The sequence below is a fragment of the Homo sapiens genome, chromosome 9 (genome assembly GCF_000001405.40).
Source record: "Homo sapiens chromosome 9, GRCh38.p14 Primary Assembly".
NCBI classification, from domain to species: domain Eukaryota; kingdom Metazoa; phylum Chordata; class Mammalia; order Primates; family Hominidae; genus Homo; species Homo sapiens.
Window position 1 is genome coordinate 17591023 of NC_000009.12, and position 24433 is coordinate 17615455.

At 40.4% G+C, this 24433-nt stretch overlaps 1 protein-coding gene across 2 annotated transcripts in view; it reads left to right on the forward strand.

Moving 5' to 3' along the window:
* The window catches only part of SH3GL2 (SH3 domain containing GRB2 like 2, endophilin A1), a 218059-nt gene that overhangs the window by 11957 nt on the left and 181669 nt on the right, over positions 1–24433 (forward strand). Inside the window, exon 1 of one of the 2 annotated variants that reach the window (XM_047423730.1) lies at positions 16212–16232. The exons of the other annotated variant lie outside the window; for it this stretch is intronic. The gene's annotated coding sequence lies outside the window, so the exon portion shown is untranslated. Of the gene's footprint in view, positions 1–16211; positions 16233–24433 lie in introns of those variants that run through there. 2 annotated transcript variants of the gene reach the window in all.

Genomic DNA, 24433 nt, shown 5'->3' on the forward strand with positions numbered 1-24433 from the left:
GCTGGGATTACAGGCATGAGCCGCCGCGCCTGGCTAACATTTAATTCACTTTTTACAAGCTCTTTCAGCTACTTTCTGTGTCTGAAGACACAGACATGTAAAGCATTTTGATACATTTTCACCAAAAAAATCACCTTACATAAAAGGACGTGTCTTAAACAGAAAGCTTATCATAAAATCTCTATATCAATTGTTTTCCTAAATTGATGACTGTTACGTCTTCCCCTTTTGTGAAACAGTGAGTTATACTGATATTTTGTGATATGTACTGGCTTGCCCTTTATAATATCTAAATTACCTAAATTCTTAGTGTTGTCACCCCTCCAGTGCCCCCCAAAAAAGGTCAACAGGTCAGAGTTAAATTAGCATTTACTCAGGAATGGGGGTTGCAACCTGGCTAGCAGTCAGAGATTGTACCACCCGAGAAGGGCAAGGGGGCTATTTAAAAGAACTTATTTAGATTACATAAATTGCTTGTCACATTATTTCATTGGTGTATTAAACAAGTCTTTAATCAGTAGTAGAAGGGTACATTTGTATCAGTTATTCAGGAAAAACCTATATACAGAGTGTTTGTAAAGATTAGGACCAGTTTTACTTGTATTGTGTAGTGCTGAGAGCACGGTTGTTTGTGAAGGAATGTTTTTCACAGTTCCTTTTCGGGTCTCAAAGTTCATCAGCAGTTTAATATGGAGTAGTAGCCCAAGATGGAGTTACTGATATAAAGCCTGGAACATTGCTAAGCTCATAGTGTCCAGTAAAACTGTGTCTACTGGTTGCTGCTGTGAATGATTCAGGTGAACGTAGGCATTTTCTGTAGGCGCTTTCCACATGATTATGGTAGAATAATTTGATTGTTTCCTAAGCGTATCATTCAGTTGTATCTTCATGACATTTTGTCAATCTGTATTCATGTTTACTGACTATATAAGGGTTCACCAGCAAAACAGAACCAACATGATATGTAGATACATGAGAGGGATTTATTATGGGAATTGGCTCATGTGATTATGGAGACTAAATCCTGCAATATGCTTTCTGCAAGCTGGAGAATCAGGAAACCCGGTGGTGTAATACAGTCCAAGTCCAAAGGCCTGAGGCCCCGGGGAGCTGCTGGTGTAAGCCCCAACCCCAAAGTCTCAAGAATTTGGAATTCTGATGTCCAAGGGCAGGAGAAGATGGAAGTCTTGCTTAAGAAAAGAGAGCAAATTTGCTTTTTGCTCTTCCCAGGCCCTCAAGCGATTGGATGTCTGCTGCCCTCAGATCTTCTTTGCTCAGTCTACTGATTCAGATGCTAATGTCTTCTGGAAACACCCTGGCAGACACACACAGAAATATTTTACCAGCTATCTGGGTATCCCTTAACCCAGTTAAGTTGACACATAAAATTAATCATCACACTGACTTAATTTAAAACTGAATCAGTGTACCATTTTCTTAAATGGAAAAATCACTATTAATTATCATGCAAAACAAAATTAAGTCCTGGATACTCTTGCCTGAGTAAATCTGTGAGCTTGAGGTTTATTCTGCCTTTGTTAAAACAGGAGATTAACAGATAAGTAGTAGATATTCTAACAATACCCTGAGATTTCCTCCTTCACTAAATTAGAATGGAAGAAGAATAAAATGGATATTTTAATTTGGGGATTCAGTGTTCTTAAGGACCATGGTATTGTGAAATATGTATTTCGTCTCCCTGTTTCCTCACAGAAAAAAAACCTCTAAAACCCATGGGATCATCAGGGTGGTAACTGTCTTTTCTCTGCTACGAGATGACCAGTGGCTGGGGACTCCTATAGCTTCAGGTTGGGGACTGTTCACCAGAAAGACCAATGTATGCTTAGAGGGTTGGGACTTTCAGCTCCAGCCTCCTTAGAGGGGAAAGGGGGTGAAGGTTAAGTGGATCACCAAAGGCCGGTGATTTAATCAGTCATGCCTATGTAATGAAGCCTCCATAAAAACCCAACATCACAGGGTTTGGGAGGATTTTCAGACAGCTGAACATGTGGTGGTTCCTGAAAGAGGATGTGCCTGGAGAGGGTATGGAAGCTCCAGGCTGCTTCTCCCATACCTCGACCTATGTGTCTCTTCCATCTGGCTGTTCATCTGTATCCTTTTAATACCTTTCTAATAAATGGCTAAACATAAGTAAGTGTTTCCCTGAGTTCCGTGTGCTGCTCTGGCAAATTAGTTGAATCACAGGAGGGAGTTGTGGGAACCCTGATTTATAGCTGATAGGTTAGAAGCACAGGACTGTGCTTGTGACTGGCATCTGAAGCCAGTTGTGGGACCGAGCCCTCAACCTGTGGGATCTGACGCTATCTCCAGGTAGTGTCAGAATTGAATTGAATTAGAGGACACCCAGCTGGTGTCCAGTGGAGAATCATCTGCAGAATGGGTTGCTGGTAGGGAGAAATCCCCACACATTTTGGTAACCAGAGGTCACAGAAATAGTCTGTGCTGGGTATTTTGAGGTATATATATAATAGGAGAAACTGTGTTTGTTTTTTTCCTACATCCTTACAAGGACACAAGAATGTACCAACTGTCTTGTTCAAAACATGGCCCTTCCCATACATAATTTGACTATGGAAATGGTTGACCTTTTTCTGAGTACCAAGGAGTTTTCTGCCTGTAATGGGGTATTTAATTATATTTTAGAAAAAGGAAGGTCATTTGTTTAGAGCAGCACTGAGTCATCTGTTCTGTGCCCGATGTTCAGAAAGGAGGTAGACATGTTCTTTAAGAGAAGCTTTTGAAGTAATTTAGAAAATGGTGCAATACCATCCGTCATCAGGCTGTGTGGCACAAGATCAGTAGGAGCCCAGAGACTTCACATCTCCTAGTTTTCCCATTCTGAGCACTTGTGAGACCCCAGACCAGTCACTAGTCACTTGATCTCAACTTCTTCCTCCTCACACCCACATTTTCTCAGTTGCACAGCTGAGGTAATATGGTCCTGGGCATGATTTTAGGTTCTGACGTTCTGTGCTTCTGGTCTCGTTCCCCTCTGGTTCATTATCTACTGTGGCTATAGTGACTTTTCTAAAGAGCAAATCTAGCATTGTTCTTCTTCTTAAAACTCTTCAGTGGCTCCTTATGGCTCCCAGGATAGGTCCCTCTGAAGTCCTGTTCAGGAGTCTGAAGTGTCATCTGTGTCCTGCTCAGTGATCTGCTTTCACTCTCACACTCTAAATGTGCTCTGAGTTGTAGCTGTGCTAGTTATCCTGACACCTTGCAATTATGCCATACGTTTCTTGCCTTTCAAGCCTTCGCACCATGCTCTTCCCTCTCTGTGGAAATTCCCTTCTTTCCACTTGGTATTTGATTAATCACCACTTTATCAGCTTCATATTTTCTCAGAGAGGTTACCCTTCCCTCATTTAGTGTGGGTTAAATGTCCTTCCATGTGCAATGAAAATTGCATGTTGTGGGAGAGGAACAACACACACCAGGGTCTATGGGGCGGGGGTGGGAGAGCATCAGGACAAATGGCTAATGCATGTGGGGCTTAAAATCTAGGTGACAGGTTGATAGGTGCACCGAACCACCATGGCACATGTATACCTATGTAACAAACCTGCACGTTCTGCACATGTATCCTGGAACTTAAAGTAAAATAAAAATTAAAAAAATAATTGTGTGTTGTACCTCTGTGAAGTGTAGTGCTCGGCTCACTGCTATACAGGCACCAGTCTCCTTGATGGTATCCTCTAGGGTGGGTATAAAGAGAAGGACCCTGCCATTCTATACTTCATTCTGTTGCCAGTTCCTAGCCTGTAGTGGGCATTTAATTGATAATTGTTGAATGAATACATAGCTTCTGTTTCTGTTGATCCTTATGTATATTTAAAAGGGGGTCCTATGCATATATTTTTGATGTATTCATTTCTGCTTAAAATACATCACCGATTTCTAAAAGTTAATGTAGAATTTAAAGCACACCCTCATAAAATTGTAAGATTGTAAGTTTAAAATAAACTTCCTTCATTGTACAAATGGCTAGCCTAGGTACTATTTTAACTCATTTATTACTCACAGCAACCCTATGAACATTATTATCCCCATTTTACAGATGAGGAAGCTGAAACACAGAGGTGGTTACACAGCTTCAGTGGCAGAGTCAGGATTGAAACCACACCACCTGGTTTCAGAGCCAGTAACTGCCAGTAGTTTTTAACCATGAGTCCTATTGTCACCTTATATATCAAACCAAGACATACCTAAAAGCTCTTAGTGGTCACCAAGAAGACGCGAACACTTTAGTAGAAAAATAAGACAACAATATGAAAGGCAGTATTTGAAAGAGCAAGTGGCCAAGATACGAATGCAAAAATCAAGGAAATCAGACAGCAATATCTGACATTTTTCATTGTTTAGATTGGCAGAGATGAAAAGGATAGTAACATTCTGGGTTAGCAAGAGTATAAGAACATGGATCCCCGTTTATGGTGGGAGTGTAAACTGTTAAAACACTTCTGGAGATCAGTAGTTCTCTTCCCTGTAATTCTGTTTTTAGGAAACTATTCACAGAATATAAATGTATAAGTATGTACAACTTAGGTACAAGATTGTTCACTGTAGTAGTTATTGTGGTGAAAAATTGTAAACAACCTCAATAAGGGATGAGGAAGTAAATCTGTATGTCAATATTATGAAATCTCTACAGCTATTTTATCTATAGGGCAATATTTATTGCAGTAGGGAAACATTCATGATTATTGCCAAAATGAAAAAAGCCAGCCATAAAGCAGATATGTAATATGTAGTAAGCCTGATATTGTAAAAATATAGCTATGATGGTAGCTAAAATGCACTGAGAATTTATAGACCAGGCGTTATGCTATATTGTTACAGTAAGATTATTTTTTTAATGAACATTTGAACAGTGATTATTCCTGGTCAGTGGGTTTATGGGTGAGTAGTGTTTCTATATTTTCTTTCTTATCTTTGGTAATTTGATCTATTACAAAATTTTCTTTCCACTTCATCGTCTTTACTTGTAACCCCACTTTCTCAGGATAAGTTGAAAACAAGGAATCGAATAATTTTAGGAGCCATCACGGGGACTAGGAACAAACCCAGTTTCTAGCCAAGTTCTAGAACTATAAATATATGTCAGTTTGCTTCATTAGGCATTTAGCTTAAAACTATTGGAACACCTGCCCTGCCCTCCATAGAGCCCTGAATTAAATTGTGCTGCTTGGGTTTCTTCTGAATGCATGGCTACTTTTCTGGTTTCACCAAGAAGATGTGTACAAACATTATAAGTAAGCAGCTGCTAATGACTTTTGCTGGCATTTCTTTTAAATGAAGATTTTTTTTTTTCAGTTCCCTAAGTCTTATCCCTAGTGTCATAGCATTGACACTGTTTTTTCGTAAAGGGAAAGAGGGCAGCTAAGACATGTATAGGGTATTGGAGTGCTCCTGTAAGATGTTCTTGGTAATTTGGTGTGAGCTGTTCAGCCTCATTCTCCAGCCCTTAGGCCACGAGTCTCCTGGGCATCTGTCACTTCTTAGCTTCTCAGCAAAAAGCCTGTAGGCAGTGCCATTCTAGCAAAAAAAGAATGAAGTGAGGGAGAGATACCTGAGAAGATAGGAGACGTTCCCAGTGATCCCTGTTGAACTTGAATGCGGAACATTGTTAATAGTCTCTGGCAGGCTTCTATTTTGAAGACAGAAAATACAAAGTTTAGGAAGCCATAAATGGTAAAATAATATATTCTTCTCAGCAACCCAAACAAAATACATAAAAATGGAAAAAACACTACCGTGAAACGTAGCCTCAGTAATGAGATGGGCAGGCCACTTTTGCCTTTCTCCCAAAGAGGACACGTCTAGCAAGATCCACTGGACTGCTGACGGTGGTGGATTGCTGGGCACAAGCATGCCTTTATGGATGGTCTGGCTTTCTCTGGGGCCTGCCACTCTTTGATGGCTTCAATGGCAAGTGCTTCGACCTCTGAGATAAATAATTTCTGTGAAATCATTTCTAGAGTGAAGCTAACTTTTCCAACCTCTGCAGCATCTTGTGATGTTTCTGGGGATAATATTAACTTGTAAGCTGAGAAACAGTTGAGACTGCTTCAAGAGATTTGTTTTCTTGTGTAGTAATCTGCTGAAGCATATACCAAATTGATGTTTTTATTTGCTGCAAAACTTCGGGTTTTGGTCCTTTTAAAGTAGTTTCAGATTTCAGCATTTAAAAATAATTGTCCTGGCACAGTGGCTCACGCCTGTAATCCCAGCACTTTGGGAGGCTGAGGCGGGCAGATCACTTGAGTTCAGGAGTTCAAAGCCAGCCTGACCAACATGCCCTGTCTGTGCTAAAATACAAAAAAATTAGCTGGGTATGGTGGCACATGCCTGTAATGCCAGCTACTCGGGAGGCCGAGGCAGGAGAATCGCTTTAACCCAGGAGGTGGAGGTTGCAGTGAGCCAAGATCATGCCACTGCACTCCAGCCTGGGCGACAGAGTGATACTCAGTCTCAAAAAAAAAAAAAATTACTATATAACAATGATTTTTTGAATGAAGGTAGATGTAGCATAATTGAACTTTGTTACTTATGTATTCTGTATTATGTGCTTGTTAGGTGGTTCTCTTAAGAGTAAGGGTTTTGCAAGATGCTTCTTTCATAATTGGACACAACTTGTAGAAAGTGAGGTGTGAGTTTGTTTGATTTATATGTTTTTCTTATCAGATTATGGAACTATCCATTAATAAGCTACTCTAGAAATTATTTGGATTTAAAAACTCTCTTTGGAGAGTTGCAAGGGCCTGCCTGATCTGACCCTGGCCTCTCCACCCTGATTGAGGGCCAGTTTTTCCCCTCTTTATGCTCTGGTCCTCCATCTTTCTTAACAAACAGTAAGCATTCGCCCATTAACCGCCAGGCTCTGTGCTGAGTTTTAGGTATAGAGAGATGGATAAAATACTCATTCCCTGCCCCCGTGGAACTGGCAGTGCAGTGTGGGAGACAGACCAATGATTATGCAAATATATAATTAGAATTTGTCACAGGTGCAGCAAAGAACAATGCTAGGGCACTCTCACGTGGAGGTCATACCTGACATTCTGTTGTGGAGAGAGGCCATGTTCTTTTCAGTATGTAGAAAGGTTAAGGTTGTCTATGAGGTGCAGCTGGGGAAGCTCTCACCAGCTGACGTCATTCAAAAAGTGAACAGGGTACTACTATTTGCACATAAAAAAGAGCAGGTTATGGTTTCACAGACACTTTAGATTCTTATTCAGAGAGGATAGCCTTGAGGGTAAAGAACTACTTCTCATGTCTTACTGAAGCTAGGGTCATGGAACATCTCCAGCTGGAATAGTTTCTGTTAAATAAGATTGTATGATATGATTTTACATCATTATCTTTCTTACCAAAGATCATAACTCTGTCTCACAGAAATGTGTGGTCATGCAGTGTTTCCCTGAGGATGCGTCTTTAAACTGAGAAATTGAGGCTGAGAAGAAACCAGGCCTTTGCAGAGTTGCGGGCCAAGGGGTTTGAGCCCACCCCCCGACCTGCCCACTTCATGTCATCTGGGAGCTAGTCCACTCCCACTCATCCTTTAGGCCTTGATCCAGATGATACTTATTGGAATCCCTTTCTCTGACCTAGTAGGTTGGATCAGGTTCCTTTTATTACATTCACCATGGTTTGTGATTGTGCATTAATTTTATGGCCATTCGATTAAATGCCTGTCTCCTTCAGTTGGTCTCTAAATTCCTGAAGGGAGGGATCAAGTTTCTGCTGATCTCTTGGGGTAGTTACCATTATGCCCATTTTACTGATGAGGAAACTAAGGCACAGGGAAGTGTAGTGACTCATCCAAAATAATACACGGTATTAATGGTGGAGGCAGAGTTTGACACTGGCAGTCCATCCTTTCAAAGTTGGAATAGACTTTAAATGAATCATTTAATTATTTAATTGGTCAATGGAACAAAATGGAAAGTCCAGCAATAAGTAGTACATTGTGGTGATTTGGTATACAATAAAGGCAGTATTTAAAATCATCAAAAAAGAATAGATTATTTAGTAAATGGCATTTGGACAATTAGCTATTCGTTTGAGAAATAAAATTTAATCCTTTTTGTCACATCTTAAAATAAATTTTAACTAGTTGGAAAATATGAAGGTAAAAGAGTGTAAAAAGAAAATATGGTTTCTTTTGAAATGGGGAATACTTTCTAAACATAACATATCATGCAGAGACTGTGCACTATGGATGAAGGCTGGTGAATTTTTGCTACTTGTAAAAATGAAGAACTGCTGAGTAGCAAAGGATCCTAAAGATGGTTGAAGTGACTAATGGGATTAAGATTTGCAGCATACAAATAAAAATAAAATTTACAAAACCCAGCCTTGGCAAGGGTACAGTGCCAAATGGCACTGTATTTCCAGCAGGTTCTTCTTTCTGGGATCCAGTTAGGCAATATGTGTCAATATGCAGATTCCCTTTGATTAAGGTACTTCTTGAAATTTATCACAAGTAGGATAATTGGGGATGTGCAAAGATGTATGTTCAAAATTTATTGCTGTGTTAATGGTAGTGAAATATTGGTCCAGTCATATGATGGAGTTTTATGAGGCAAATGATGTGATCTACATTCACATGGAAACCTTTCTTTGACGTGCTTACGGTTGGGGGACAGATTCTAGCCAGGCATTTGTAGCATGAACCCATATGTAAAATTGTGGGTGTGGCCTGTGTATGTTCTTTTGGATGGGTGGTGATTTGGAACTAGGGTCACAATGTTAATTATCTCTAGATGTGGGCTTTCAAACGTTTTCTTTTTCTTAAAATTTTTTTTGATATTTCCTTTAAAAAATATAAACGGTGAATATATACCTATTGATAATAAACCCATCCAGGAAACGGGAATAAATATCTAAGACTGCCTATCTTTTTTTTTTTTCTAATCTGAACAGTTATTTTGCTTATGAAATATAAAATTAGGACACTTTGTCATTTTGTATTTAAATTCTTATAACACTTATTTTGGGCTCCTATACATGCTCTTCCTGCGTTTGGCTTTCCTAGCCACTGTAGTTGGGATGTTTGAAATATTCAGGGTACTGAACAGCAGTTTAGACACAAAAAAGTACCTGGGTGCAGAAGCATTTTCATTAAAATTACATGAACGCTGGAGTTTATTCTACAGCACAAAGCCTTCCTGGATGAACTGGATTAATGTTTGATAGAAACACAGCCTCTTAAGCATCAATGTTCTTAAACTGTTTGATTATTAATTAAATGTCCTATGTTCTTCAGCCTTAAAAGGTAGGAGAAACTAAGACAAAGGAGAAAAAAATCAAGATGTCAAAGACAGGAATGTAATGTCGAAGGGAGAATTTCAAATAACCCACCTCCACACAAGCCTTTCTCAGGGAGACGGTTAAACAGCACAGCTGGCTCCGATTCTGATGTTTTCTCAGTTAGATCTTCAGAGAACAGTTTTAATAAAGCTTTAATTATGGAGCATCCCTACACACACTGTAGACAGGGATCATTCAGCTGCATAATGTTGCTGATGATATATTTATGGAATGCTATTTCCATCCTAGTTTAAGGTATCTGTTGCTCTTAGTTACTGGAGCTATGCTGATTTCAGAACTACAAACAGTTTTTAATATTGAACATGCTAACTGGTTCAATGTATATGTTGTACTACTTTAGTTTTTGTGGGGAATGGACTTTAAAGATTAGTTTCATGCTGATCCACAGTGTGGGAACATGTTTGGTATTTTTAAAAACTCTTTACTCATTGTCTGAGGTGAGAAATTGTTGGAAGACAGAGCAGAGGGGAGAAAGAGATATGTTATTTATGTAGGTGAAAAATACCATGTGAATTTAGAGTTTAGAGTTTAGAATATGGCAACCTTAATGAATTTTGGAGCTGCAGTAGGTAATGGATCTCTAAATTTTTTTCTGCAATTTTTGTTGTTATCCATTAGCTCAGTGACAATCACTGTGATCCCCTCCCTTGGTCAGTGTGTCCCTCAGCATTCTTAACCATTGTGTATGTGCACTACCAAGCTTTTCCCTGGGTGCCTCATGTGTGGTGGTGTTTCTACAGCTTTTTTGCAGTGCTCAACGTCTTCACCTAATAGGTCACGTGGTGGCTGTGCCTGACCTGCACATGGTCATTTCTTTTTGGTTGCTGAAGCCCAGGTTGTCTTAAGAGATACCGTTGTTTTTCTTTTTCTTTTTTTGGAATCAATTTTTTTTTTTACTAAAGGACATACAGCAAGATGGGTGAAAGGTGGAAAAAATAAACACAGGGCTTAATGTTGAGAGGGTATTTTTAGACTTAGAAGCAGCTTGCTGCTTTCCATGAAATAGTTGAGTGTAATTCATGACTCATGTTTCCGTTTTTGGTGGTTTTTCTTTAAAGGATGAAGGCTGGATTAACTGTGTGTTTGTGCGTGCCTCTGCAGTTTGGTTCTCTGGATTCATAGGAGTGGGTTTCTTTTATTTAGTAACTATGTGCATAATTTCCTTTTGTCCTTTGTAAAATATCTTTTTAGTCATAAAAATCAAATCATCTTCCCATGTAAGCTTCAGAAAAGGTGAAGTTATATATTGAAACAAACCATGACAGTAGTTAAATTTTTTGTAGGGATAGCAGAGGAAGCCAGTGAGTGGTTCAATAACATTGTTAATTTTCAAGTTCTCTGGAATGCTTAAATAGAGCTGAAGTACGTTTTAGGTCATTTTGAGTTGGTACACTTTTGTTGGTGACTTGTTGTGTCCCAAAAACTTGGGGTATGGTCACTGGGGAAGAGAATCCTATTGGTGGGAAATCTTCATCTGTCTGTGGTGGGTTTGATGCTGCCAAATAGGTAAAAGTAATTACAATTCTGGTAGTATGAAAGAGAAATGGTCAAGCTTGGGAGTCATGGATTGTACTTTGGGGCTGGGAATCTTATAGATTGTTCATATATGGAAAGCATTTTAAGGGCATTGCAGAAAGCCTTCTGGTTGAACTTCATGAAACTTAACTCTTCCTTCCCGACTGTCTCTCCCACCTTCTGAAAACCACAGAAACAGCTCTATTTATTGGGTTCTATGACTTAAAAGAAGAAAAGACTGAAGAGTGACAATCAGACGTCTTTAAAGTTCTCTTTTGGACCCAAGGCAGGATGCTCGTGGCATTTCAACACCTTCCTCAGGATCAGAGTAGGGAGAGACAGAAATGATCTTTATTTTTGGGATCACAGCTTGAAATGGGGCTGCTGGGCTGTATTGGATTTGATTCTGTCCAAAAGGCGAAAGTAATGATAGCTGCTGGGCTCCCATCCTCCATGAAAACCCAGTCAGTTCATTGTCAGTTTAATTGTTGTTTTCTGAGCTCTTCTGTTTTGAACATTTTTAAAAAAGACTTTTGCTTTCCTCTTTCTAAGTGTTTTGTATCATACCCCAATGCAGAGGCCACCAGCCACCTTGCCTCTTTCACCCCCATCTCCAGGAGATTGGCAGGTCTAATGGCTGTCACTGTAGAACAGACCTTCCAGGTGACTCTTGACCCCTCAAATGAGGAGTAACCGGATCCCATGTAGACCTGGCAGTATAAAAAAACTTTAATATTATTGATTTGCAAAAGAAGGATTATAAACAAAACGCTAACAAGACAGTTGATTGTCAAATTTTCCTCTTTATTTCTCCATTTTTGGGGAAGATGGAGTGGGAATAAGGTAGGAAACATGCACCAAAATGAAAACATTTCTTGTAGGTGAGAATAACAAGGACTTCTATCACTGAAACATTCTCTTTTTAATGTTTAACTGCAGGATGCTTAAAGAAATCCTACAATTATTGTAGACATTGATGTGCTATCAAGAAAAATCCATCTTAAATCCCCTGCAAAGTTCATTAAAATCTTCCTCATTGTGGTACTTTACTTGAGATTAATTTCTTTAGGTAGCATGTTTTTACTTTAGTTGTAGCAAAGAGCCACATTTACAACAGGAGCTTGGGCCCAGTCATGGAACAGTGCTGTGTGTGCACATTCTGTGGGACTGATTCTGAGGACATGCCACTGAGTCTTTTGGTCTGTGTTGGAGAGGTCACCTTAATTCCAGAGCAGCAAAGAGTTTTATTTATGAGAAATATCCTGATATGTTAAAATATGTTTTTGAACATATTTTGGATCAATTTGTCTTATTAAAAAGCCAGCATTATTTGTATGCCAATGTTCCTTGCAGCATTATTGACCATAGTCAAGAGGTGGGAGCAACCCAAGTGTCTGTGGAGAGATAAATAGATAAACAAAATATGGTAGATCCTGCCACATGCTACACCATGGATGAGCTGTAAGGACATTAAGCTAAGTTAAATAACACAGAAATAAAAAGCCAAAGACTCTGTGATCCCACTTATAAGGTACCTAGAGTAGTCAAATTCATAGACAGAAAGTAGAACAGTGGTTGAGAGGGGAGGGCAACTGGGGAGTTGTGTAACGGGTACAGAGTTTCAGATGGGAGAGATGGAAAGAGTTCTAGAGATGGACGGTGGTGATGGTTGCATAAAACATGAATACACGGCTGGGCGTGGTGGCTCACTCCTGTAATCCCAGCACTTTGGGAGGTCAAAGCCCATGGGTCACCTGAGGTCAGGGGTTCGAGACCAGCCTGGCCAACATGGAGAAACCCCATCTCTATTAGAAATACAAAATTAGCCGAGTGTGGTGGTGCATGCCTGTAATCCCAGCTACTCGGGAGGCTGAGACAGGAGAATCATTTGAACCCGGGAGGCGGAGGTTGTGGTGTGGTGAGCTGAGATCGTGCCATTGCACTCCAGCCTGGGCAACAAGAGCGAAACTCCGTGTCAAAAAAGAAACAAACAAAAGCAACCATGAATAAACTTATGCCACTGAATTATATATACACTTACAAGTTAAGATGGTAAATTTTATGTTACATATATTTTACTACAAATAAAAGTTAAAAAATAGAAAAAAGGGTGAGTCAGTCTCCGATATGTTGTTTTTAGTTTCTGGTCATGGTGGGGTTTGGCTGCCCTGGTCCTACGCTTGTTACAAAACTGCTGGTGGGAAGGGTCCTTAGACCTGTCATCTGCTCCAACACTTTCACTTCATACGTGAGAAAACTGGGTCTCAGAAGTGAGGTATTTACCCCCTCCTGCGTGGGCTTCTTCCTTCAGTTTCCTGGAGAGGCTGTGCAAAGTGCAGCAAGAGCTGGACACTGGACTCTGCTGCCTGGGCTCCACTCTGCTCTGCTGCTTACTCGCCAAGTCCACACAGACCGTTAACTTTTCTAAACCTGTTTCTGAATGTATAAAATGGGAATAATGTCAGTATCCTATGAGGTTGTTATGGGGATTAACTGAGTGAATGCATTTTAGGTGCTTAGCATAGTATTTTCACACAGTAAGTAACACATGAATCTTAGCCGTTTGTTATTGCTTTGTTATTGCTGTTGTTACTGGCATGTGCTGCAAAGAGCCTTTAGGGACAGAGGTTTGGGATTGAGGCTCAGTGGCAATTACTTGTTAGTTCTCTGTCCTTAGCCATGCTGCTTAATTTCTCCTTGTTACCCAGTGCATGAAGTAAGGATGGGTGAAGCACTTGTCTTGGTGTGGTGCTTGTGAAGAGAGAGAGTGGAGTACCTGACAGAGCACTTGGTGAATGGTAATGACCCAGGTCAGTTTTAGTGGGTAAGAGGATGTCACTGCAGCCTGGAGGGCTGGCATCTACTAAGGCGTGGTCTTCAAGGGCGGTGCTGAGAACAGGCATGCTCAGCTCTGACCTTGGGTTAGGGTGGAGGTGTGTTCTTCTAGGCCCGCTTTCTAGGGCCTCCTGAGAAAGGGGTCACCGGACTTCTCTAGGTCAGTTGTCCCTAAAAGTAGGTCGAGGACCTGCAGGTAGAGCCTGGTATAGTTTGAGTCAGGGACAGAGGTATTAGTGTTCTTTCACAAGTCATTTTTTTTTTTTTTTTTGAAATGGGGTCTTTGTGTCCCAGACTGGAGTGCAGGGGGACAGTCATGGCTCACTGCAACCTCAACTTCCTGGGCTCAAGTGATCCTCTCACCTTAGCCTCCCGAGTAGCTGGGAATACAGGCATTCACCACCATGCCCAGCTAACTTTTTTAGAAAAATTTTTTGTAGAGATGGGGTCTTTCTGTGTTGCCCAGGCTTGTCTTGAACACCTGGCCTCAAATGATCCTCTTGTCTTGGCCTCCCAAACTACTGGCATTACAGACAAGAGCTACTGCAGTAGGCTACAGTTACTTTTGTTTCCAATCCCAGGTAATAGACATCCCCTCACTACTGACTCATCCTCTTCCTGACTGTTTTTCACTAGCTTAGCCTTACCTACTTCCAGAGGAAGACTTCATCCGAAATTGAGATGACCAGGGAGGTCATTTGTGCTCAAGAAAAATTCATCTAGCAGGTATGTATTGAGAACCAGTATATGATAGGGGTAAGAGGCTAGAAATATAAAGGGTAATGAAATGCTGCTGACATGCAGGGGCTCAGCACTTTCAGTATATAGTCCTAGTACCTGAGAGCTAGCAAAAAACAAGCAGAGATGTTTCTCTTAGCCCAGGCAGCTCCTCAGTGTGGGGGTCTGGTGCCAACATTGCAACTGTATTGTGTATTATTTAAATGTGTTTGTATGTTTGTGTTCAGTGTACATATGTTTTCAGATTTGTGAAAAATACATAATAAACTGCATGTCATAAAATTCATGGTGTGAGATTTGTCATAGTCTATTACATTCCTAAAGACTCTCAATATTGTGGACATTCAAACTAAATGATTCCAGAATGACTTTAAAATGCTAGTGTCAGAGCAGGCAGTAGGGATGCCTTCCTGTATGGGTGTGGCCATATTCACCTGTATGGGGCCCAGGCAGTAACTGAACTGATAGTTTCATCAAAGTCAACACGTTATTTTTTGAACTCTGACACTCTATGCTTGGTATGCTTGAGCACATGATCCCTTTCATTAATGGCTTATTTTTTTCAAGTAGTCTCATTCTACCCTTGTCAACCTTGACGGCGGGGTCAGCTTCACTTGCGTGAGGTTTGTTTGTTTGTTTGTTTGTTTTTGAGATGGAGTCTCACTCTGTTGCCCAGGCTGGAGTGCAATGGCGTGATCTCAGCTCACTGCAACCTCTGCCGCCTGGGTTCAAGCGATTCTCCTGCCTTAGCCTCCCGAGTAGCTGGGATTACAGGCACCCACCACCACACCCAGCTAATTTTTGGAGTTTTAATAGAGACGAGGTTTCACCATCTCGGTCAGGCTGGTCTTGAACTCCTGACCTCATGATCCGCCCGCCTTGGCCTCCTAAAGTGCTGGGATTACAGGCGTAAGCCACCATGCCCGCTCAGACCCCACAACTCCCAAGGCCAATTAAACCAGAAGCTTCCCAAGTGTTACCAAGCTGCAGCCTGGCTTGGGAATCATTAGCCTATCCAAAAGTTTGACTAGTATCTCCCTTCCCTTTTGATTGATATGAATGATGCTAATCTTGCTTCGATGGTCCATGGCTGTACCAGTTCAGTTTCTTCTTTGTATCCATCATGAGAGATCTGATATAGGAAACAAGGCTAAAATCAATTTTAAAAGTTTCTACAGATTTACTTGATGTTCTCTGATGAAGTGAAGCTGGATATCCTTTAACTACCTGAGCTGCCTGCCACCTTCTGTTTTCTTTCTCTTTGCTAAATTAGGGGAGTAAAGGTGAAACTTAATGTTAGTTGTTCCATATCCTGCAGTGCTGAAAACTACCACAACCAAGAAATAAAATTACAAAATTCAAGATGTATTTTGGCTAGCTTCACTCTTTGTCCAGGCAGCTTCAGTGAAGTGGCAATTTAGAAATAGACGGTCAGCAGTAGAAAGTAAGACCCCACTTGTGATTTACCCAAGTTCTTTGGAAAGATGCAAGCCCTCCTGTAAACACACAGTGATTCAGAGGAGCATGTTTACTAGCTGAAGCCCTTTTTTTCTCCTCTTCTCATAAGGCCGGTTATCGAGGGAGTTTGTGTGTCTGGGGAAAGGACTACTTTATGATAGTTCCTTAAAATTATGACATACAGTCATGCATCAGGTAACAATGGGATATATTCTGAGAAATGCATCATTAGGTGATTTCATAATTGTGTGAACATCCTAGAGTGTAATCACACAGACCTAGATGGTGGAGCCTGCTGCAAACCTAGGCTATATGATGTAGTCCATTGCTCCAAGGTAATGAACCTGTACAGCATATTACCATACTGAATGTTGTAGGTAATTATAACACCATCATAGCATTTGTGTATCGAAACATATTTAAATGTAGAAAAGATACAGTAAAAATATGGTATAAACGATTAAAAATAGTATAACTGTACAGGGCACTTTCCATGAATGGGGCTTGTAGGACTGGAAGTTGCTTCTGGGTGAATTGGTGAGTGAGTGGTGATGAAATCATCTAATCAGTTATGACATAGCTGAGTTTTTCAGGTCTTATAATCTTACAGGACTACCATCATGTATTTGAGCCATCGTTGACCAAAATGTCTATGCGGCACGTGGCTGTATTTAGCTGAACGATTAAGTAGAAATAACCTATTAAGACCTTTTTCCAAAGTATTTTTTACATGGTTCATTGTTCACATTCTGTATATATTTACATCATACTGTATGGTCTGCAATTGTATTTTTGACTTTTTCTTCAAATTTTGAATGGCTAAAAATTCCAGCAGGGTTCAAGAGCTTGTCCTTTTTGATTGTGTTTTGTTTCATCCGTAGCAGAATTGCCTAGATTGAAATGAAATGAAAATAATGAATGGTATGACACTTGGTATCATCACAAACTGATCATTCAAATGAATGGGTTAAATACTGTTCATGTCATGATTTATGGAATGCTTTCCTGTCCCAAATACTTGTGCTTGGTGCTAGGCATACAATTATATGAAATGTTTATTATGGTGAAGAAATTCAAGATTTTCCTTCACCTTACCTCATCTGTTCAAATGAAAATGGGATCTTTGTGTTTGGGGGGCTGTTTTGCACTTGTATATATAAACAAGTGAGGAAGCTGGATATTTAGGAATAAAATCTCTTTTTGAATTTAGAATTTGTAAGCTTTCCTCTTTTTTTTTTTTTTTTTTGAGATGGAGTCTTGCTCTGTTGCCCAGGCTGGAGTGCAGTGGCACAATCTCAGCTCACTGCAAGCTCTGCCTCCCAGGTTCACGCCATTCTCCTGCCTCAGCCTCCCGAGTATCTGGGACTACAGGCGCCCACCACCACACCTGGCTAAATTTTGTACTTTTAGTAGAGACAGGGTTTCACCGTGTTAGCCGGGATGGTCTCGATCTCCTGACCTCGTGATCTGCCCGCCTTGGCCTCCCAAAGTGTAAACTTTCCTCTTAACGGTCAAATCTTACTGAAGAAATCTGTTAATGGAAACTTTGATAAATACAATGAACAGATTTGGTTCTTCCTCATCCACATAGGTTGGAAGCAACAAGTATTTTGATTGTTGACTCATACTTCTCCAGTGAAGTGACAATGTGTTGATGGATTAAACACAGTTATTTTTAAGCTGCTTTGACATTCTCTAGGCAAAGTATTATCAGGAACAGAGCCCTGAGATTTGAGAGTTGCAGATGCTTTCATGATTCTTCACTGTCTGTCTCTCCTTACATAAGTGTTTCCAGAAAGCTAATAAAATTATTCCTGAAGGTTAAAAACAAGGAAGTTATGAACCGGATTTGAGGTTGAAATTAGGTAGGGGGAACATGAATTATTTTCTGTAACGTACAAGTGGAAACAATTTAATCAATCCTTTTTATTTTTATTGAATGTAGACAGAAAATTCAGTGCAGGTGGCTGCATTGCATTTCATTTACAATAATTAAAAAATGTTTGAGTAAAACAGCTCTGTTTTGGTGGACAGAGATCCAGGACACCCACTTTCACTTACAGGTGATCCGCTCTTTCACTGATCCCAGCATCTGCTGCTTCTGTGTCACACCGCTGGGGGAATGGGGGATCCAGAGCTGATGAAGGCATGGTCCTGGCTCTGCTTTGTCCAGCTAGTGACAATGTTAGTAACCCGCATTATTGAGCACTTAATAAACAATAATTCTCACAGCCCGATAAAGTAGTTTTTTATGGCATCCTCATTTTTAGATGAGGAAATAGAAATGCAGAGATGTGATAGCTTGCCCAAGATCAGTCTGTAAGAGGTATAATTAGAGTTTGAAGCCAGGTAGTCAGAGTTTTTTTTTTTCTGGATATTTTGCAGAGAAAGTTTGAGACTTAAGGAAAGAGCAAAGATGCTCTTGTGTTTAAGCAGATCCATTGAGCACTTTTTGGGTCATGGTCTCTGTACCCATAAAACTCTGAAAAGTACAGGGGTTGCAAATCATATGCGTGCGTAAGCCAAGCAGGTAGAATAGAGGCATGAAGTTGGCCAGATGGTCTGTGGTGAGCAGGGGAGCTCTCCGTGGGGCCACCTCCCTGCAGCTGTAGCCAGTGAGAAAGTGAGCCCAGTATGGCTGATCTCTAGAAGGGAAGCTAATGAAAGGTTTAACAAAACATCTCTGGGTCATAAAAATTGATCTTTACATCACATCAGGTTTGTGAATATACAACGTGAAACGTTTAGATATGTACTTGATACGGCTTTGGGGAATTTATTGAGAATGTGGGAAAACATTTGTTCTCTAAAAGAAAGTTGCAGATCATACTGCAAAGTGACAGCTGAGCAAAGGCTCCCCCTTGAGAAGGGCATGTGCTACTCAGCTCATGGCATCTGGGCTCTCATTGATAATGGGGGGTAGGTTGGAAGATTCTTGGAAGCCACAGCAAGACACACCACACCTGGGCTCTCATAATCATTTTGCCACCCTAGAGAGCTCCAGACACACGATTGGCCCTCTAACAGAGGAACATTTTAATACAAGTGTGTACTGCTCAAGGACTCATTTGCTAAGTTAGGGGCAGACTCCTTGGTACCACCAAATCCTATTTTTCCTAAATCGGTCAATGTATTGTCATATCCCCTGTGTGCAGTTTTAACTCTGTGAGTCTGGATTTGAATGGAGGCCCAGCTTTATTCTAGCTGTGCAACTGTGGGCAAGTTCCATCTTCTCCAAAGTTAGCTTCCTCAGGGTATTGCAAGAATTAAATAGCAAAATGCACATAAGTGTCTGGCGTAGAGTAAGTGATAGCTTCCTTTCTTTTCCTCATTTTAATCAATTACCCAGTTGGTGGATGTGATAACAAATGAACTTCCTGAAGATCAGAGCTGTGTGTTAGTGTAGGGCTCAGATCCTCTTTATGTATTCAGTGAACACTATGTTCTGTCTAACAGGCACCTGCTCTAGGTTATTAGGGCCATTAAAGGCATGTTATATTCTCAAAGAGTATACAATTTAGTAAGAGACACAGAAAAAACTGATGTTCGATTGTTAGGTTGGTTTAAGTTGTTGATACATACTTGGAATGACTAAGATCATTGTTTAACATTGGTGAGTGCACACTGCAATGGGAACTTTGTAATGCTGGAGAAACCCTCAACTGTTAAACATATACTTAAAAAAATCAGGGTGTAAGGATCCCTGGCTGAATAGTGTTGAATTTTTTTCATTTTCCTTTTTTTGACGAAGAAGTTTAACACAAAATTATTAAGCAAAGCCATTCAAGAAGTACAGCAAGTTTTCTAAAGTTTTTTTTTTAATAAAAGCGAATATCTTCTCCTATAAACTAGCTTGCTGACCCAGAAATTGAACTGTGATTAAAAAATAGGGCAGTGCCCCCTCAAAATGAGAGTTGTCTTATGTTATGGGACGCTTTTTTGGTGAATACTTTATATTTAGTAATCTCGTTTTTAAGGTTGTAGGCTCTGTATGGTAAAATTAATACAGTGAAAAATTACAGTCTGAATATAGAGAAGATGTGAGTGCCAAAGTGTTAAATAAAACCCTTATTTCTTCTTAGTGAAGGTTCTTTCAATTGACAATTAACTGGATTTTTCTATATTTCTCTGAGAGTTATTCATTGTGACAGATTTTGTTTCATGACAGATGTAAAGAACTTCTTTAATTTTTGATGTTCATAGAGTAGACGTCATACAATAATAACCTTGCAAATAGGAAGTATCGATCATTGGTTTTTTTTATTTCATAAAGCCTAACAATTATTTTACTATAGGGAAATATACAGGTTGAATAACTTTATAGTTTTCATGATCATGAAGTAACTTCCAAGTTATTTCATAGGGTAAACGTGGGTACGTGATAGACATATAGGACATTTTGGTTTCTTTTTTTTTCATTTTTGCTTTTGGTTGAAATTGTTCGTGGAAGCTAAAATGCATTCTAAGGTGAAATAAATTTTCACTTATCCTTGGGGCATTACAATTTAATAGAAAGAGAAGCTCATTTAGAACTTTATTGGCTTCAGTTCCTTCTGGCTACAGCATAATCAGAGACCTTGACTTTCCATGTCATCGCATTGGTGTGTTTGAGATGTGTGTGACCTGTATATGGGATGTATCTGAGACTCTGTGACTGGTAACTGAGGCTCCCTGTTACTGAGTTCATGATCTTACATTACTGTTTTCATGAGAAGCCAGTGGATCCCTGAGACATGGACTAAAGCTTTTAATGCCTCTCAGAATATGTCTGGTTAACTTTGGTCACTGCAGTCTTCTTACTCTGGGGGCCTTGCCCTTGCTACACCCCGTCAGGAGGAGATTAGAGGTGATCATTGCCTTGGGCTCTGTCTTCAGTGCCAACAGAAGGAGACATCAGGACTTGCTGGCCCCAGGTCTGCCCAACTCCTCTTGTCTTTGGTGCCCATTATGGGAATCGTAATGACAACTTGCCTATCTCAACACTCTTTCCCACCATAAAGTAATAGAATGCTTTATGGTTCTGTAAGCTCTTTTTGTGTGCATCATCTTCTTTCACCCTGAAAATGACTTTGTGAAGTCAGTAGCTAATAATATTGGGACTAGTTGTGCATATGGGGAAATTCTCAGAGAGAGGAGGTGCCTGGGGGAAGGTTGCCTAGCAGCAGAGCTGGCATAGAAGGCAAGCCCGTGACCTGTCTGTATGGGGGAAAGTCCGGCTCTTCAAGGGTGGCATTGCCTGTCTGTCCTCTCTCTCTAGTTCTGTGCACAGAAGGAACAGGAACAGGAACAGAAGGCACAGAGGAACAGGGAGGAAAAGCCCTTCCGGGAGTGTGCCTGAGTGTGGCTTGTGGTGAATTTGTGGTAGTAGCTCTGGTCAGATTTTACAACTTAGAATATGTTTTGAATCCATATATGTGGTACACTCTTTTTGTGTGGGACTGACACAACCCTCTTAACCTTACCACATCTGGAAACTTGCTTGAACTGCTGAATCTCAGACCCTATCTCAGACCTAAGAGTCATAATTGCTCTTAATCAAGGTTGTCAGGTGATTCTTATGTACATTAAGTTTGCAAAATGCAGCTCTATTGAAATACAGAGGACCAGAAATTGTATAATTGAGAATAAGGTGAGGAGAGGAAGGGGTGCATGTGTGTATGTGTGAGAGACTGGGAGGATGCATTTCACTTGTGTATGTAATTGTGGGAGTGTGTTCTCATTTTACTTGAAAAAGCAGCTCACTGAGCTATAATTCACATACCATGCAGTTCACCTATTGAAAGTGTACTGTTTAAACCACTTATTGGTTTTAAGTGTGTTCACAGCCTTGTGCACCCATAACCGCAATCAATTTTGGAACGTTTTTACACCTGGAAAGAAACCCCATACCTATAAGCAGTCACTCACCATTTTTCCACAGTGCCTACCTTGCTTCCGAGAAGCCCCTGATTATCACTAATGTACTTCTGCCTCTGTCTTTTGGATTTGTCTATTCTGGTCATTTCTTGTATGACTGAAATAATACAATATATGGTCTTTAGTGTCTGAATTTTTTTCACAGTTTATCCATCTTGTAGCGTGTATCAATGCTTCATTCCTTTTTTACTGCTGTCATTTTGTTGTCAAGTTTATTTTGAGCAAGAATACAGAGATTCACCTTTATCCTAAGCTTTGATGACCTTAGGCTGTCTAAATACGGTCTTTTATTGTACAATAACATTCAATAAGAGTAATTTCTTAGTGTGACCATTGCTTTTCTGATGCCACGTACTCTAGAATCTGAAAAGTGACAGTGAGATAGTAGAAGTATTGTTAAATGCATTCAATTAAAGAAGCAAAACATTAGTATTTTCCATTTGTAAAGTTTTGGTTGTTAATTTTCAACCACTTTCTCTGTAAAAAGCAGTGGTATGCCATCCATGCTCTGCTGAAAACTATGCGTGCCTTTATAAAATATGGAGCTGATGTTGCTGAAAATTAAAATGACAAAATATTGTGTTTAGATAAATAACAACAATGGCAATATTTTTGGCAAGAAATCACATATTGTCCCTCCCCCAAGCAGTCTGTTCCCTGCAATTCTGAATGTTTGGTAATTCTAAGCACCCTAGAGGAAGGTAACATTCTTCCCTTGGTGTCAGTGCTAAGCTCTGAGATTGTTATTTGTCAAATAAAGCACAAATGTGTTTTCCTCTAGTTACGTGAAGACCTTGTGTGGAATGCCTTACTGTTTGGAGAAAATCTTGGTTTGGCTCTTGGGCTCTCTGGTGATCATTTTATAATGCTCATTATGGGAGGTGACGGGAAGAATGGCCAGCAAGATGCTCTAGCCTGCAGAAAAGTCACTTTAGCATTTCCCTGCTTTGACTATGGCACACGGACATTTGGAAATTCTTATTCTGGTTTTGGCAACACAAAAAGCTTTCCTTTTTCCCCTTCCCTCCTGGCTGACTAAGCTCATCTTAATGCCACTAAATTACCAATGCCTTATTTGGCAAGCTGCCTGGTAAATCAAATGAATGACGACAATACTGGAGATCTTGTGTGGTCACTTTCTAAAGGGTTTTGTGCCTCCTTTATACTCTTGTCTCCTTCTCCTTCTTTGGCGGGTCCACTCAGTTATTTGGCTCTGTTTGGGAAGGCTCTGGGAAAAATGCCATTTATCTATCTTTTCAACTTGAGGGGACATGCTTTCTTCACAGATTTCTTTGGGATGGAAAGTTCTTTCTTTAACCTGATTACTGTTTCTAGGTGCTGTAAATTGCTGATCATTCTCAGTAAATCACCAGCATTCTGTTCTTTCTCAGTCTTGACAAAGTTGCCATTGTGCATATGTGTATTTGTGTGTGTGTGACAGGGAACATGCATGGTTTCTGAAAAAAAAAAAAAAAAAAAAAAAAAAAATCCTTGCCCCTTTTAGATTTGGAAATTAGCATAGCTAGGCTAGCCAGATCCCTCTTTTGGAGGAAATGGGAAAGATTGGATTGAGCCCTTGTGTCAAGGAAATTGACTTGGCTGGATTTCAGGGATCCCTGTGGACTGGCCCACTAAAGATCTGTGTCAGTATCTTTAGTGGCACTGGAATTGGGACAGCGTAGCTATTTTCTGTCATAGGGCAAACTCAGGGGGAAAAGGGCAGGCACCCAACATTCTATGAGAACTTCCATGTGTCAGAGAGTGTTATGTAAATGCTATGTATATTCTTGTGTAGTATGACAACCTTGTGAGCTGTATATTACTACTGTTGTTATTATTACCATCACTGCTTCACGAATGGAGAAACTGAGGCCCAGGGAGATCGTATTTCCTAAAGTTCTACAGCTGAGAGGTGGGTTGCGGAGGCTGCTGTCCTTTTCTACCAAGTGAAGTTTGTCTTTGCTCTTTCTCTGCCATATTCTTTAAAGGGGCAGATGTTACAAGGTTGATGCGGCTGATGGAAACACTAGCATAGGACAAAAATACAAAATCCCTTCACAGACTCAAGTTTCCCCACACCCAAAAGGCTCCGCGACAGCATTTCCAGGTATAGGGGCAAGCTTCTGTAGCCTCCAGCAACCACAGAGGTGCCCAGATGCCAATGACACCCTGACTAGAGTGAGCATGTCCTCTCTGCTCTCAGAGTCCTCTGTCATTGGACCCCTCCCAACTGCTGTGGACACTTGGGCTGTGTGCTGCCTACTCCCAGGTGTTAAGTTACTGGTAGGACCCACGGCTGTGTGTTTATTGCACAATTTGGTGAATCAAAGGCTGACTTCCTGGTGAGCACCCCGTAGCAGGGTGAGATATGGACCTTTCTGGAGTCTGTTTTACAAGAAGTGTTTACTGGGATATTTTAGGAATTCTCAGATAAATCCATATGATAGCCTACCTGTATTTCCTATGAATAAATTGGGTATTTAAGATGTATATTCTTTTCATTTGTCATTTTTCCTTGATTTTAAAATTTCCCTTCATTGGCTGGGTGCGGTGGCTCATGCCTATAATCCCAGCACTTTGAGAGGCCGAGGTGGGCGGATCACGAGGCCGGGAGATTGAG